This window comes from Homo sapiens, chromosome 5, assembly GCF_000001405.40.
Source record: "Homo sapiens chromosome 5, GRCh38.p14 Primary Assembly".
NCBI lineage: Eukaryota > Metazoa > Chordata > Mammalia > Primates > Hominidae > Homo > Homo sapiens.
Window position 1 is genome coordinate 115970050 of NC_000005.10, and position 16981 is coordinate 115987030.

A 16981-nucleotide genomic window follows, 5' to 3' on the forward strand; every position below is an offset into this window, starting at 1 on the left:
TAAAACAGCTTTATTAAAGTATAACTGACATACAATATACTGCACATATTTAAAGTACAAAACTTGATAAGTTTTGGCATACATATACATATGTGGTGGTGAAACCATCACTACAATCAATATTAATAAACATATTCATCACATCCAAAAGTTTCTTCTGCTCTTTATAATCTCTCCTTTCTACATCACTGTAACCTTCTTATCTTCAGGCAATTATGGATCTGCTTTCTGTAGATTAATTTGCGTTTTGTAGTGTTTTATATGAATAAAATCATACAATATGTACTCTCATGTCTAACTTCTTTCGTTCAGTAGAATTACTTTGAAATACATTCTTTTTTTTTTTTTTTTTGAGACGGAGTCTTGCTCTGTCACCAGGCTGGAGTACAGTGACACAATCTCAGCTCACTGCAACCTCCACCTCATGGGTTCAAGCGATTCCCCTGCCTCAGCCTCCCAAGTAGCTGGGATTACAGGCACGCGCCACCACACCTGGCTAATTTTTTTTTTGTATTTCAGTAGAGATGGGGTTTCACCATGTTGGCCGAGATGGCCTCGATATTCTGACCTTGTGATCCACTCACCTTGGCCTCCCAAAGTGCTGGGATTACAGGTGTGAGCCACCGCACCCATCTGAAATACATGCTTTTTGTATGTATCAGTTATTTTGTATTACTGATAGCATTTCATTGTATTGATATAACACAATTTGTTTATCCAACAAATTACCAAGACATTTGGGTTGTTTTCAGTTTTGAGCTGTTTACAAATAAAGCTTCCAGGAATACTCATATACAAGTCTTTTTATCAATTCATTTTTCTTGAGTAAATACCTAAGAGTGGAGTGGTTAGATCATATGAATATTTAGTTTTTTAAGAAACTGCAAAACTGTTTTCCAAGGAGTTTGGTCATTTAAAATTTTTATCAACGTATGGCAGAATTCTAGTTGTTCCAAATCCTTACCAGCAGTTGGTATTGCCAGACTTTTTCATTTCAGCCATTCTAATAGGTGTATAGTGTTCTTCATTACAGTTTTAATTTATATTTTCCCAATGACTAAAAATGTTGTGCATCATTTTCTGTAACTATTTGTCATCCATCTATTTTAACAAAATGTCTGATAAAATCTTCAGTCCATTTTTCTCTTGGGCTGTTTGTTTTCCTATTGTTGAATTTAGAGAGGATCTTTTCTCAAATACATGATTTGCAAATAATTTTTCAGTTGTGGCTTGTCTTTGTATTCTTTTAATAGTGTCTTTCAAAGAGCAGAAGTTTTACATTTTAATGAAGTTCAGTTTATCAATGTTTCCTTATATATATCAAGCTTTTGTTGTTGTATCTGTGAAAACATTGTCTATCCTAAGCTCATAAAAACTTTCTTCTATGCCTTCTTTCAGAAGTTTTATAGTTAGGTGTATGATCCATTTTGAGTTAATTTTTGCATATGGTGTGAGGTATGGATTAAAGAGTTTTTTTGCCTATGGACATTCAACTGTACCACTGCCATTTGTTAAAGAGTCTATGCTATCTGTACTGAATTGTGTCTGCACTTCTGTAAAAAAATCAGTTTTTCATATATATATGTGGGTATATTTTTTGATTGTCTAGTCTGTTCTATTGATCCATTTGTGTATTTTTATGCCAATTCTGTATTGTCTTGATTCCTGTAGCTTTGTAATACATCTTGAAACTAGGTGTTATTCATCTACCAACTTTTTTCCAGTTATTTAGGATATTCTAGGTCCTTTGCATTTCCATATTAATTTTAGAATTAGCTTGTTAATATCTATTAAATAAAGAAAAAAAAGCACCTGCTGGGATTTTGACTGAGATTATGTTGACTCTATAGAAAAATTTGAGGAGAATTCAAATGTTAAAAATATTGAAGCTTCTAACCCATAAACATGGTATATATCTCTCTACTTATTTAGGTCTTCTTTACTCAGTTTTGAGCTGTTACAAATAAAGCTTCCAGGAATATTCGTGTATAAGCCTTTTTATGAATTCAGTTGTAAATTCAAGTATTTTTATGAATTCAGTTGAAAATTTGTATGAGCTTGGGATAGACAATGTTTTCACAGATACACCACCAAAAGTTTGATATATATAAGGAAACATTGATAAATGAGCTTCATTAAAATGTAAAACTTCTGCTCTTTGAAAGACACTGTTAAAAGAATACAAAGACAAGCCACAACTGAAAAATAGGTTCGCAACTGTTTTATGAATTCAGGTTTTATATGTTTCACTGTATATATCTTGCACATATTTTGTCAGATTCATTCCTAGGTATTTTATATTTTAAATATCTATTGTTAATGATATTTTTAGAAATTCCAATTTCTAATTGTTGCTAATTAATTTTTGCTTGTTGATCTTGTATGCTACAACTTTGCTAAATCACTTCTTCATTTAGCATCTTTTTATTTAAAAAAAAGCTTTTAATTTTCCATTAAATTCTCTACATAGGTTGTCATACTGTCTTGAATAAAGACAGTTTTACTTCTACTTTAGTTTCAACGCCTTTTATTTATTTTTCTTGCCTTATTTCAATGACTAGAGCTTCTAATACAACACTGAATAGAAAAAGTAAGTAAAGATATTCTAGTCTCATTTCTTATTGTAGGGTGAAAGCATTCAGTCTTCCATCATTAATTATTAATTATGATTTTTCCTATAAGGTTTTTTTTGGTAGATTCTTTTCATTAGGTTGAAAACGTTTCCTTTTATTTATAATTTTCCAAGAGCTATGATCAGGAATGGATGTCATATTTTATCAAATGTGTATTCTGCATCTTTTGAGATGATTATATAGTTTTTATTATTTAATTTGTTAATATGGTAAATTACATTGATTTTCTAATGATAAACTAGCCTTGCATTTTTTTTTTTTTCCAGACAGGGTCTCACTTCTGGTGCCCAGGCTGGAGTGCAGTGGTGCAATCACAGCTCACTACAGCCTTGACTTCCAGGGCTCAGGTGATTCTCCCACCTCAGCCTCCTGAGTAGCTGAGACTACAGACACATGCTGCCATGCCTAGCTGATTTTTTGTATTTTTAGTAGGGATAGGGTTTTGCCATGTTGCCCAGGCTGGTCTCAAACTCCTGAGCTCAAGGAATCCATCTCCCTTGGCCTCCCAAAGTGTTGGAATTACAGGCATGAGCCACTGCACCCAGTCAACCTTGAATTCTTGAAATAAATTCCAGTTGTTCTTGATGCATTAGCCTTTTAATATATTATTAGATTTGATTTGCTCAAATTTTGCTTAGAATTTTTGCTCTATGTTCATGAGAGTTATGGACTTGTAGTTGTAGTTTTCTTGCAATGTATTTGTCCAATTTTGATGTCAAAGTAACACTGGCTTCAAATAATGCATTCAGAAGTATTCCCTTTTCCTTGATTTTCAGAAAAATTTATATAAAATTGGTAATATTTCTTCTTTAACCGTCTGATTGAATTTCACCCATGAGGCTCTCTGGGCCTAGAAATTCTTTGTGGGATGGTTTTTAACTATGACTTAAATTTATCTAATAGATACAGGGCTATTTAGGTTATCTATTTCTTCATGAGTAAACTGTGGCAGTTTGTGTCTTTCTAGGAACTTATCCATTTAATCAAAGTTGCCAAATGTGTAAGTACAAAATTGTTCAAAATATTTCGTTATTATTTTAAACATCTATAAAATCTGTAGTGACATCACCTTTTATTCCTGATATTGGAAATTTGTGTCTTCTCTCTTTGGGAGCTGGAGCCCTTATCTAGTACCACTCTACCACTTACTAGTTGTCTAACCAGTTTCTTCAGCTTTCATAGGTTTCTTCTACTTCTAATATTCAATAAGTTTATTTGGTCTGCCTTGAGATTTATCTTTTTTTGAGGCTGGTAAATATGGACTTTTTATTATGGAAAATTCTTTAAACATTTACAGAATATAATAAGCCCCCATTCATAACCCAGCTTTGGGAACACCTTTTTCAAAAATATTTTATCTAGCATTTCTGTTGAGTTTGAAGTAGGAGGTAAGGTTTCCTGTTTTAGCTCAGTCCACCATCATAGTAGAAAGTTCTTTGCTTTTACTACTTCATCTAGTCTCTTTCTAGACATTTCAGTTAGTCTTTTGATACTACAGATATTGCAGACATAGTTGTAGAATGCATTCCTAGAAGAGAAATTGCCAGATCAAAAGGCTTATGTATTTATAATTTATACATTACCAAGTTGTTCATAGGAGGTCATACCAATCTATACACCTACCAACTCTGAAGGTACATTCACTAGAGTTTAGGTAATAGTAAAAGCGTAACACCTAACAGTTTATGATGTTAAAAACTCTTAGTGGTAATGCTGATTGCAATATAAACACTAACAAAACCTAGTTTATGAAAGCAGGCATTTGAAACTATATATGTTATTAAAGTTTTACGTCTGGTAAGCTAGTAACACTTTTCAATAAAAGATCTTAATAAAACTTCTTGGGCGTTCCTTGAAGTCTTCCCATTTCCTTTTTAGTTGTTGATGTGCCTCGTGTCTCTTAGCCATTGATGCAAACTCCTTTGGAACACTCTGGTTTGCTCTTTCCAAAATATTCATCAATTTGGTGGCAACCCTCAAATCATTTCTAGTCACACGTGTAATTGGCACTCCAGTCCTTCCAGCTCTTCCTGTGCACCCTATTCAGTGTACATATTTTTCAGTGTTCCATGGAAAATTGTAATTATAGATATCTGTAATATCATGGACATCAAGACCTCAGGATGTTATGTCAGTAGCAATTAATATTCACTTGACTTATTTTAACATTCTCTAATGCTCTCTCCCGACCAATCTCTCTGTTCTGTATCACCATGCAGAGACTCTACTGATATATTTCCAAGTATTAGGTCACTTGATAAATGATCTGCAACTGCCTTTTGGGAAATGAAGATAATCACTTTGTCTCTGGGTGAAATAAGATCTAGAAAACTTTGGATATAAATTCATTTTTCTTCCTCTGTGGTGATCATTATATTTGCTTCACTAAACTTAATGGCAACCAGATCCAGTGTACCAGCATAGACAAGCATGGGCTCTTTCAAATAAGATTGTATGAGTCAATGAACTGAATATGGCCAAGTTGCCTGGTCATAATATTCTGCCTGTCTGGGCGCACATCTAACAAAATCTTCATTATCTTGGGTTCACACCCCATGTCCAGCATATTGTCTGCTTTATCTAAAACCAAGTAGGTTACACTTCTCAGGCTGACAAAGTTATTCATTTGCAGATCATCCAGTCTTTTGGGAGTTGCCAATATGATATCAACACCTTTCCTAAGGTCTTCTATTTGTTTGTCTCCATCTCCACCACCGTATAACAAATGCTTCTAAACTTTTATTGCATCACTCAGCTTCCACTTAAAGAGTTAGCTCCTGAGTGGGCATAAGGACTAACATGCGGGTCTATTCCTTTTTTCTCTGTGTGTTGGAAGTCCAGATGAATATATCCAGGCATTAAATAGCATAATGTTTTTCCTGTACCAGTTTGGGCTACCCCTGTAAGATCTTTTCCTTGCAGAGCAATTGGCCATGCCTGTGACCGAATAGGTGTTGGTTTTTGAAAACCTGTCTTTTTAATATTTTCCATAACTTCAGAACAACATTGAAAGGCATCGTCAAATGTGCAACTAGGATTGGGGATAGGACGTTTCTTACCATTTTTCACGTCATCACACATTATATTAAAATTTGCCTTCCTCCGGTTGTCTGCTTGCACTTGGGATATTGAACTTGTTGTTGACTCTTTGTAAAAGGTTTTCTCAATTGGTTTTTAAATCAATTCTGTGTTCTGAATTGTAATTTGTTTTTTAAAAAACACATTTATCTATTACTACTTTTGCTTTTGTTTGCATCGCCTTGCTGCCAAAAATGTTGACTAATGATTCCAGATGTCCTTTTCTTTATCTGGATTTTGATGTTTGTTGTGCTTTGGCTATCCTTTATTTTTGACCCACCGTGACTGATCACCACACCAACTAAGTCGTTCTTCAATCCGAAACAGAGCAGTGGCTCCCAGTGACTAGCGGCCACAGCCTCCGGGGTTTAGAGGGGTCTCTTCGGTCCCCACTTCTGCCACCCCTATATCCTTCACAACCTCTTTGATTCAGTTCCTCTGCCAGTCTCCTCTCTGGTGCTCAGGATACTGTTGAGCTTCGCCAGATAGCAATGACCCAGATAATGGCATTGGCTCCTACTTTTTGGTTAGATGAGAGTAAGTGCATCTGACCAGCTCTGCGCTACCTGACCATGCTGTTGTAGGACTGGTGTCAAGATTTATCTATTTTACTAATCTTCTTGTAGAACCAGTTTTTGGCTTCATTGATTTTCTCTATTGATTTTCTGTTTTTTATTTCACCGATTTATATTTTGATCTTTATTATCCACTTTCTTCTTACTTTGGGCTTTATTTTTACTTTTTCTATACTATGGTTGACACAAACTTATTACTTTAAGACCCTTTTATTTCTCATATAGGCATTTAATATTATAAATTTCCCACTAACTATTGCTTTAATGCCATGCCACAAATGATGTTATGTTGTTTTTATCTTTTTTTTGGAAGTTCAGAATACTTTCTAATTTCCATTTGGATTTTATCTTTGACTCCTGTGTTATTTAGAACTGCATTATTTGCTTTCCAAATGTTTCAGCATCTTCTCATTTTTTATTGAATGCCTGACATTTAAATTTTTATGTTGTTGGATGCTGGATTTGGTTATATTGCTTAGAGAATGCTGGCCCTTTTGGATAGTAACTGAAGTTACTTGGTGATCCTGTTGATCCTTGTTTGATTCTCTTGAGCCATGTTTTTAAGCTCTTTGAGAGTGACTCTAAAGAAGCCTTTACTCTAGGGCTACTTTAGGCCACTACTCAGGCATCACCCATCTAGTCTCCCTCTGTTGAATAATCTATATATTCTGAAGATTTCAATACTCTGGCTTGAGAAAATTCCAACAACTCCAAACAGTATGTGAACTCTGGGAAGTGTTCAGCGTACCCTTCCCTGGTACTTATTCTTTCCCCAGCAGCTTCTCTTTGCCTGACCTCATGATGATTACTATTTGTCCAAAGACTTGAGGGGAATCCTATACAGATTTCTGGAAGTCTTTCTTTGCATAGTTACCTCTTCTCTTATACTCTACTCGGCAAATTCTAGCTGTCTAGGTGTCCCTGAACTCTAACGTCTGTCTCTTCAACTCAGTGAGACCACCGAATTGTTTCAGTTTCCCTTTCCTGTGCTGCAGTTTAGAAACTGCTTCGAGGCAGAAAAACAGGGTAATTGTAGCATTTGCTTTGCTTGTTTCTCTTCTCTTGAGGATCACAGTCCTGTGCTTCTGGTTGTCTTATGTCTGAAATAGTTGTTTTATATATTTTGTCAGGTTTTAAAACTGTTTTCAGCAGAAGGCTGATTTGAGCCTATGTTACTCCCTGTGGTGGCAAACAGAAGTCTCATTATCTTTAGATTTGGGAATGCTATTAATTATAAAGTTAATCTCTAGTCGTCTTCATGACATCTCAGTTTAGTTTAGTTTTAGTATTTATTACGTTATGTACTTCAAAGCAGTCAGTGCATTGGAAAGGACCCCAGGCTTGGGACCTGGAGCCCTGATTCTGGTACCACTGTGCACTTGCTGGTCGTCTAATCAGTTGCATAAACTCCTGGGGAGTCAGTTTTCACATCTGTCAATTAAGATGGTGGGACTCTTTAAGGTCTCTTCACTTTTGTAATTTAATGAGAGAACTCATACACTCCCACTTTTGTTCAAAGATTCCCAGAATACTTCTTGCATTTTTGATTCTAGCATTCCCTTGATTAAAGAAAAGAAGGAACTGAAAGATATTTAAAGAAATGAAAATAGAAAGATCAAGATCAAATAAGGAAAGTGTGAAATAGTTGGTGAAAATTAGGATATTTTGGGGGGCCAAATAAAGGTGAAAGCAGCATGATTAAAATCAATGAATTTGTGCAGGTTTAGACAGAGTGAACAGAGAATAGAAACAGACTTTCTTGCAGTTGCTGTTTATGCTAGGAAATCTGGCATGGTGATTAGGGTATGACACACAAGAGAGAAATTTGAGCAGTATCAGGAAAAGAATTTGTAAGTCTCAAAACGAGGTCAGAGAACTTAAGTGCCAGACACATGATGCTGGTGTCACAGAGGAAAATGTCATTTCATTATCCTATAAAGGTGTCAAACCCATATATTTCATGTGGCTGAGCAGTCCTCTCTGGGAGATGGTTTTGCACAGCAAAGATTCAGATCCTGTGTCTTTTGAAAATACGTATAGCTAGCATATTGAAAAAGCATAGCTTACAGATTAGTAAAAACACAACTTCGTTTTTCCATTGTCCTTTTACAGTGGGAAATTTAGTCTGTGGGGTAACTTTTCTGCTCTGCATGAGGACCCCAGCAGCCTATAAGTTCCTGCTTATTCTTAAGTGACAGGTGATCTACAGTAACTAAGTCACAAGTAAGTTAGATGAGAAAATTAGAAAATCCAGTCCTGTGTAATATTCAAACCTTTGAACTTAATTTACTGTTAAACCTCTTTCTCTCCCACCTCCATTTTTCTCCCATCTTCCACTCCCTACTCTTGGGCTAGTTTTTAGGATGGAAGCCTGCATTAAGGTACAGGGTGGTAGTCCTTCTTCTTTTCTTTACCTCACGTTTCTACTCTTCTTTGCCTATCTTGATAGCTGCTATTTTGATTCCACGGGAGTCCATGGGGCTGGGGGTGACAGGGAGAGGTGACACATAGGACTTCTTACTTGAGCTGGCACTGTTGTCATTTGGTCTCATTCTGGTCTTACAGATGCATTTTCCCCTTGAGATGTCATTTTCCTGGATTCTTCAGTGTTTTTCCTCTTTTTTTCTACAATTTCCTTGACTCAGCAACTTCTATTTCTTTGTTCTGATAGTCATCATGACTTCTTCCTCAGCCCCTAGACACCAAGCAGCGTATCTCAAAGCTCCTCCAGCCTCCTCCAGGTGGCTCTACTGGACTAAATCAAGACAGTCCCCATATTGGCTCACTTTGTATGGTAGGGGACACAGCTCTTGCAAGGAATGCTCATGCTTCCCTGGCCTGGGACTGGCATGAGTCCCAAGGCAGCAGCACTCCAAAGAAGTCAGCCATTCTCATGCCTTTTAGATCCCCACCTGGTAGGAGTTAGACCTTGGCCATACCATCAATTTCATCTTTCTCAAAAGTGAGTTGGGCTTCTAAGCCTCTCAGCCTCAGGAAACACTTTCACTGCTCTCTGAGGGATTCTCTCCTCCAAGCCCATAGTTAGAAGGTTGCCCCTCCTCCCAACTCCCTGAGAGCGTGGAAAGCTTGGCAAAGTAATGCTTCCCCCTCCCCTCCATCAAGAGATAGCTTCTCCAATCTCTTTTGTCTCCATTCTCTGACCCTTCTTCTGGGGCCCTCATGTAGCTGAGAAGCCCAACAGGCATACCCAGGTTCTCAAGGCCATTTATTTTGAAAATCTTCATAACATGTTTTGGCACCTTTCTCTGGAATTTTATATCTATTATGTTTTGTTGCCTGGTGAAAACTTCAGTTTTCAGATTCTATTACACAAGTAATAAACAAACGTGATTCATAAGCCAACCCTTGAACCACAGTCCAGTAGTGTAACATCTGGCTCTACTAAACATTTTGATTTCTGAGTGTGTTATTGTGTAAAAAAACTGTGGGAGGACAACTTGCCTAAGAGTTTTATTTAATACTTGACCGGCTATGCTATTCAGCACTTGTTAAGTAGAGCTGTAGACATACAAAGTTCATAAAATAATTTGGAATGAAATAGCTTACTGAGTGGATGTAGTAGATTTTTGTTTATGTTGTAGTAGGTTTATTCTCCAAGGGTGTCATGTGGTTCTTGACCACAAAGAAAGCAGTGAGTCCATGATCCACTTCCAGCACAAGAAAACAGTGAGTCCATGATTCTCTTTCCAGACAAGAGGGCAGGAAAGTTGCTCTGCAATACTGACCCACAAGGAGACAAATTCTCCCAAATTAACTCCCTCACCAGCTGACCATTCTAAACACAGACTTAATGGACACCATAATAGCATGTTTCAGTGAGATTTGAAGGGAGGAGAGGGTGGTGGATGGTTCTATTTTCTGAAGTCAAAATATCGTTACAGGGTAGCTTGAGTCCAAAGCACAGAGAAAAGGGAAGGAAACACCACTGTGAGGTTCTCAGAGGTGGCATAACTAGATCATATGTGCTGCTGGTTAGACTTGACTTTTGCAGTTAAGGTTGAGAGCCAAAGGCTGTGTGTCGTAGGGATTTTCCCCTAACTTTTGGTTTGTTTGCATAAAACTAGGGAGGGAAATAGTTGAATTAAATTTGAGAGACTTTATTTTACTTATTTGGAGACCTGAATCATGGAATTGGAAGATGCTTGCTTGATGTTTGATTTGCTGAAGTGGTGACTCTTTAAGCTGGCGTCTCCACCTGCTTTTACACTCCAGGTTCACTTTTGGAACCTGTAAAATAAAAGTTTCCCACTTCCTTAAGGAGTATAATTTTCTCTCCGCTCCCCACCTTGCAGTCTCTTTGAGATTCATAAGCTTTGTGAGGTCATGGCAGCTGAGAACGTATGATCAAGCTTTACTTCCTATAGTTTCTGTTACAAAGACAATAGGCATTTGTTGGCTTTTAAAAAATACATGAGCATGTATTTTTTAATATGCCACCAGTTGTACAAAATATCCTATAATTTCAGAGGGCTCAAAGACCTCCTGAAGGCCATGCATGAACCTGGAAGGGGGTTGTTTCTCCCAACTTTAGATGACTCATGGGCTCTTTTTCCATCCTGCTGGATATCTTAATCTCTCTTAGAATCACAGTTTTAGAGTTCTGAGTGGCCTTAGAGATCATCTACATTTCATAGAAAATTTAAGTGGTATATTAAGCAACTTTCCCAAAGTTACACAACAGTCTTTACAGATTCCGAGCAAGAATTCAGGTGGCTGAATTTCCTCTTCACGCCTGTTCTTTCCACTATATTGTCAATGGCTTGAATTTTCTCTACTTTGTCCAATCCCCTTAAAGACAGTAACCAAAACCATAAAACAAATGCCATTATAACAAACTCTGCCAAAGTACTTTATATTCTTTTGCATATACTGATATCATGCTGCTTTTATTTTATATTATTTCTTGGCTAAACAAATACTTATACAATTGCTATGAACCCAGATTTTTGCCAACTATTATAAATGATACAGAAGAAAAAGATACATAACCTCTCATTTCTAGCAGTTTCAAATTTACCAGGGCGACGAATATGACTCATGTTTAATCTGTGGTCAGCTGTAGCCCCTAGAACACTTTTTTTCAATTTTTAATTTTTGTGGGTATAATAGTAGGTGTATATATGTGTGGGGGTACATGAGATACTTTGATATAGGCATGGAATGCATAATAATCACATCATGGAGAATGGGGTATCCATCCCCTCAAGCATTTATCCTTTATGTGACAAACTAATTATACCCTAGTTATTTTTAAAAGTACAATTAAATTATTTTGACTGTAGTCACCCTGTTGTGCTATTAAATACTAGTTATTATTCATTCTTTCTAACTGTTTTTCTTTTGGAACCCATTAACCATCCCCACCTCCCCCAACCCTGGGACTTTTAAAGATGCATCTGTAACTAGTGATTTCCAAGCATCCATTCCATCCTGTAACTTATCCCTCTTTGAGTTCTTCTATAGTTCATCTGTATCAAGAATGATTTGTGAGATCGGAAGGGATATAGGAGAATTCAAAGGTGATTTATTGGTAAATGTAATTACCAATAATTTAAAAGTTCAAACAGCAGTACAAGGTAAATAGTGTCATTATTTTCTAGGTGGGGAAACTGGGGCTTAACAAGATTGTGTGACTGTCCTGCGTTGCTCAGTTGGTAGTAGATGGAGTGGAGTAGGGTCTTACAGAGAAAGTAGCTGGTGCCAGAGCCCACAGGGCTCGTTCCAGTCTATGCCAGTAAGCATATAATAATGTGGGCAAGAGCAAGTAAGCCAAAACAGGCCTTACTATAAATTATTGTTTTTGTCAATACAATGAGGTTATGACACCTCAAAATGGCTGACTGAGAGTTGTTTGCACGTGCCAACCGTCCTATGTGTCCTTCCTAAAGCTGTGTGAATTCTTATGCAAGCAGCAGCCTTATGATGGTGAAGGAGGGATCACAAGGGTAAGTAATGGATGGCATATACTCTTGAGATATCTTTGTTGAATTCACCTCTTATTTATCCAAGAATTGGGCCTGATGCAAAAACAAATGTATCAGAGACTTTAAGTCTCAGGATCTTGGTTGAAAAAGGAATTTAGCATCCACAGTTGTCATCTAAAGACGGGTTCCCAGGTAAGCAAGTCTTGGCAAATGGGATAATGAGACTGCAGGGTTTTTTTGTTTTGTTTGTTTTGAGAAGAAAGTTGTTTGCTGGGACCTGTGCTGTCATCAGACTCAGGCAGTGTTTGCAGGGGGTAAACCTGACGTCTTCTCGTCTGCTCGGGGTATTCTTGTCCCTAAGCTTTTCCCTGTAAGTCACCAGTGTGTGGTGGGATAATGTCACTCTTTGTATTTTGCCATGGAGATGGAGGAAGAATCAGCAGGGATTTGATACCTTTACCCATATATAATTGAAAGTTGTTTTGTTCAATCAGCATGTACCCATATTGTTTACTCCCAAGAGTGTCCAAAATAAAACTTTTTGTAAGTTTTTAGCTAGGAAGAAGAGGAGGCATGTGAGAAAAAGAAAAAAAATAGACATTCTTCCCCTGACTTTTACTTTAGTGGAAGATGAAAGCAATGGACCATTCTCAAAGAAGTAATCCTAGCTTTATAAAGAGCTGGTTCTCAAAAGACTGATGTTGCATATTCGCTATATTTGTTTCTATTCTGTTTGTAAAAGGTTTTAAAGGTTTACGATGTAATAAAACAAATATTATTTTGTGGTTTAAAAGTAAAGGGTGTGCTTGTATTTTAGGTCTTAGGAGAATTCTAAGGTGCCATGATAATTGGAGTGTGTTGGTGTGATGGGATGGGCAGTGAGGAAGATGAGAGGAAATTTCCTCTAACACACCAGGCTAACTTACAAGCCATCATCTCTCAATGTTTTTTTATTCCACTGGGTTGAAATAAAAATAAATAAAAATTTCCCCAAAATGTATTTCAGGGCCCTGTTAGCGTCCCAGCTGGAACCAACATTTGCCAGGTATGTTTTCCCTTGTTTTGATGAGCCAGCTCTGAAGGCAACTTTTAATATTACAATGATTCATCATCCAAGTTATGTGGCCCTTTCCAACATGCCAAAGCTAGGTAAGTAATGCTTTCTGTCTATATCTAGCTGTCTATCTATATAAGCTTTGTAATCACATTTATACCAGTAGCTTTTCTAGGCAGTGTATTATGGTGTATTATAATTACAGTCTACTATAATTAGGTAGAGCAGTCACCTGGGATATGTGTCAGCATCCACACCTTGGAGATGGTAAATCCTGATTCCTTTGGTATAAGAAGCTGAGGATATTACACTGTTCTTATAAATGGGCAGTCTGCCTGCCACTTAGTTTGGGCTTCAACTGTTGATCATTAGTGATAACAAGCTGGTGGGCTTAGTCTGAATCTGGTGCACAGCTGTGTTTCAGTTGGCTCATGTGCCTTTTTTTCTTTTGATTAAATCAGTTTCCAACTTAAAAATATCCAGAGATTTTACATAAAAATTTAAATGTGAAAACTTAGAAGTTCTAACAACACTGGACCTACAGCTCTTACGTGGCAGTGATCAGTGACATTTGAGAAGAGCCTTTAAGTCTCAGGACTTTAGTTGAAAAGGGAATTTAGCCTCCACAATTGTCATCTAAAGGCAGGTTCCCAGGTCAACAAGTCTTGCTGTCTCCAGCAGGAGGTTGGCTGCCTCCTGCAGCCGCTTCTCAGATGATCCTCACCACTCCCTATTAGGTACACCAACCCATTTCACATCGAGTGCCTGGCCCTTGTAGGCATTTGAGTTTGTGATTTCAGCTTTAAAGGCCCCAGATTGCTTCCACTAAAGTCTTAGTTTGAAACCTGAGAGGAGTAGAATTGCACCTTGTTGACCTACCGTGGGGCCTAGGCAGCTCTAGATTAAGTGTTGTGAGAAATGGGCTGGACTAGAAAACAATAGAATTAGGTGGGAGAGAAAGGAGGCAGATTGGGGGCTAAGTTTATAGTGCTCGTGGATTTGGCCCTCAATCAAGTCTATATTATTCAAAATGCTGATTCAGGCCCAAGATGCTGTTCTGAGATTTTCCTAATGTGGTTTTGGATAGCTTAGGAGTAGGTGGAGAAATCTGAACTGCTAGACTATGAGGAATAGCTGGAAAGGAGTAGCTGGGTGACAATTGACTTGACAAATTATTTCAAAGACATGTAATTGCTTAGATTTGCTGTGATTTGAACTAAAATAAAATTCTCTAGGTCAGTCTGAAAAAGAAGATGTGAATGGAAGCAAATGGACTGTTACAACCTTTTCCACTACGCCCCACATGCCAACTTACTTAGTCGCATTTGTTATATGTGACTATGACCACGTCAACAGAACAGAAAGGGGCAAGGAGGTGAGTGAGGAAGATTCTGTAGGTAAGGGAGATTGTACTGGCTGCAGATTATTCATCTATTCTTTCTGCATCCAGTGGTTATGGCTGCATATCCCCAAATCGCTTCCTAGTTCTCTCTCCCAAGCCCTGTAAAAGTTCTTAGTGTGGCTTTGCAGAATGGGACATAACATTTCCTACTGCCATTCTTTGGATAGGTTTTCACGGAAAGAGTCCATATTAAGCCCACTCATCAAGGCAAGGTCTGTGCCCCCTCTTCCCAGTGTGTTTCTGCTTTTGCAGAAGACAGGAGAGAATGGGGAGCACTGCTGCACTGGCACCTTGATGTTTGCGTTTAGTATGTGATGTGTACTTAGCCCAGGGTTAATGGTGTCTTGAAGCTTGGGTGATACTCAAAACAGTTAGCAACCAGCATGGCCAGGCATCAACGAGTCAAAACGGACACCAGCCAGGAACAACTGCTATGGCTGAAATGGTGCATGCAGGTTAAAATATTATCCCTATTGTTCTGTGAAATGGCCATATAAACAAAGCGACCCCCAAATGCAGAAGGAGCTGAGAAACTGAGGAAGGAGGCAGACAAATCTAGTTTGTTGGTTTGGAATGTTTTATTAAGGGAACTTAAAGACAGAAGCATGGTCTTGGGTGGCCACAAGACAAGTAGATCTTTGCTCTGTAACTCTCCAGACCCAGGGCTTATATCTTGGGGGAAAAGCATACGTGCCCCGGAAGGAATTTGTAGTTGGCCACATCACAGCCTATGATTTCCAGAACAACAAGGGTGGTTTTGAAGAAAACTTACAATGAATAGGTGTTTCTACATAATGAGTTAACACATTAACTAGACATTTAGAGGCACTCTCAGACTCAAGGTTAGTCAGAAGTTACATAGTGGATTAGCATTTAAAATAAAGTCACTCTTGTCCCCATACCTATCCAGAAGCTGAACTGCCATGTTCTTCAGTTCTGGAGCATGCAACACTTTTTCTGAGTTGTGTAAAGTCAGCACTCTGTCCTGAAATAGCTGGTTTTCACCCAATTACCCCCTTTATAATAATCCTTTAGGAAAATATGGAGGTCGTGCTGGCAGTGCTTTATATGCTTGTTCACTCCCTATTATAGCGGGCCTTAGGCCCAGTTCTTTCTAGACACGTAGACTTCATCAAGCTGAGAAAAATCAGGCCCTATAGCTCGCTAACATACTCTCCTGGGCCCAAGGGGCCCAAGGTCTTCCAGGCTTGCACCATTGACATGTGGAGAAAAGGAAGCTGTGGGTGAGCCAAGCCCCTCATCAGGGGAGAATTACTCAAAGCTACTCCTCCTTTACAACTCCTAACCTAGTGATGAATTAGTAATATTGTGTTGGCTGAGCGATTCTCAAAGCTCCTCCTAACTTAATGAATTAATAATACCGTTTTAGATGCAAATGGCAGCTTGTTATCTTCCTAGGCTGTTGGCTCCAGTCTGATTTTCCTATTGAATAATTACTAGTAGAACCTTGTCATCTACAAATATAACACTGGCCAAGTTAAACGTGCATGGCTTATATTTTTAAATCTGCTCAGGCATGATTTGGAAGCACGTGCTTTGAGCTTGGTAAGGAGGAATGGGCTCCCATAGGTAATGACAGACCAAAGGTGATTCCTTGGCATCCATTATCTCAAGTGCCTTGCTGTGGTCAGTGCTGCTGCACAGTCAACCATTCTTGTAGCGGGATGATATCGATTTATCTGTGAAAGATCACCCCGAAAAGGATGCCAGCTGCCATAGAAACAACAAGGAAATGGAGCATACCTAAGAAAGTCATGTTCTTAGCCAGCACACTGAAGTTTGGCATGAGTCTATCAGTGGAATGTGAACATTTGGCTACAGCTCAGCTTTACAAAGTTAATGGGTCCATTATATACTCTGCAGAGGAACAAAAATGTACACTTGGAATAGAGTCCAGCCCATTTACAAATTTCTCATTAAGTAACAGATAAAGATTTCATGAAATGGAAAGTGTGGTTAATGTGTGGCATGAGAATAAACATAAGAAACATGTAAGTAGTTCAGAATTTACATAATTCTAGAAATACTTTTAAGCAGAAATAAAAGCAAAGTAAGACGAATATGTTCTTGGAGGGCACAAATCTGTAAATACTGTGATTCTTTCATTTCCTTAGCATTTTCTCTAATGTTTTGCAGAGCGTTCTTTCTTAAATTAACGGCATTCACAACAGGACAAATATTTTAATTATCTCACTTGGTAACTTTCATTCCAAGATCTTTAAGTTTTATGCATGTTCTTTAACATTAATGCTGGCAATTCTATTAAAAATTAC

At 37.8% G+C, this 16981-nt stretch overlaps 1 protein-coding gene and 1 pseudogene across 4 annotated transcripts in view, besides 1 other annotated feature; one reads left to right on the forward strand and one right to left on the reverse strand.

Annotated features, from left to right (window-relative positions):
- LVRN (laeverin) overlaps positions 1 to 16981 on the forward strand; it is a 65132-nt gene that overhangs the window by 7575 nt on the left and 40576 nt on the right. For all 4 annotated transcript variants that reach the window (NM_173800.5, XM_047416915.1, XM_047416913.1 and 1 more), the window contains exons 2-3: positions 13238 to 13380; positions 14521 to 14660. In NM_173800.5, coding sequence (NP_776161.3) covers positions 13238 to 13380; positions 14521 to 14660 — 283 coding nt within the window. The remainder of the gene's footprint in view (positions 1 to 13237; positions 13381 to 14520; positions 14661 to 16981) is intronic.
- DDX43P1 (DEAD-box helicase 43 pseudogene 1) lies at positions 4456 to 5805 on the reverse strand (annotated as a pseudogene).
- Positions 7120 to 7409: an enhancer, noted in NCBI's record as "active region_22941". NCBI's record gives its function as "activates an Ori minimal core promoter by ATAC-STARR-seq in GM12878 lymphoblastoid cells {active_cell/tissue: GM12878}" and the evidence as "EXISTENCE:reporter gene assay evidence [ECO:0000049][PMID:35858748]".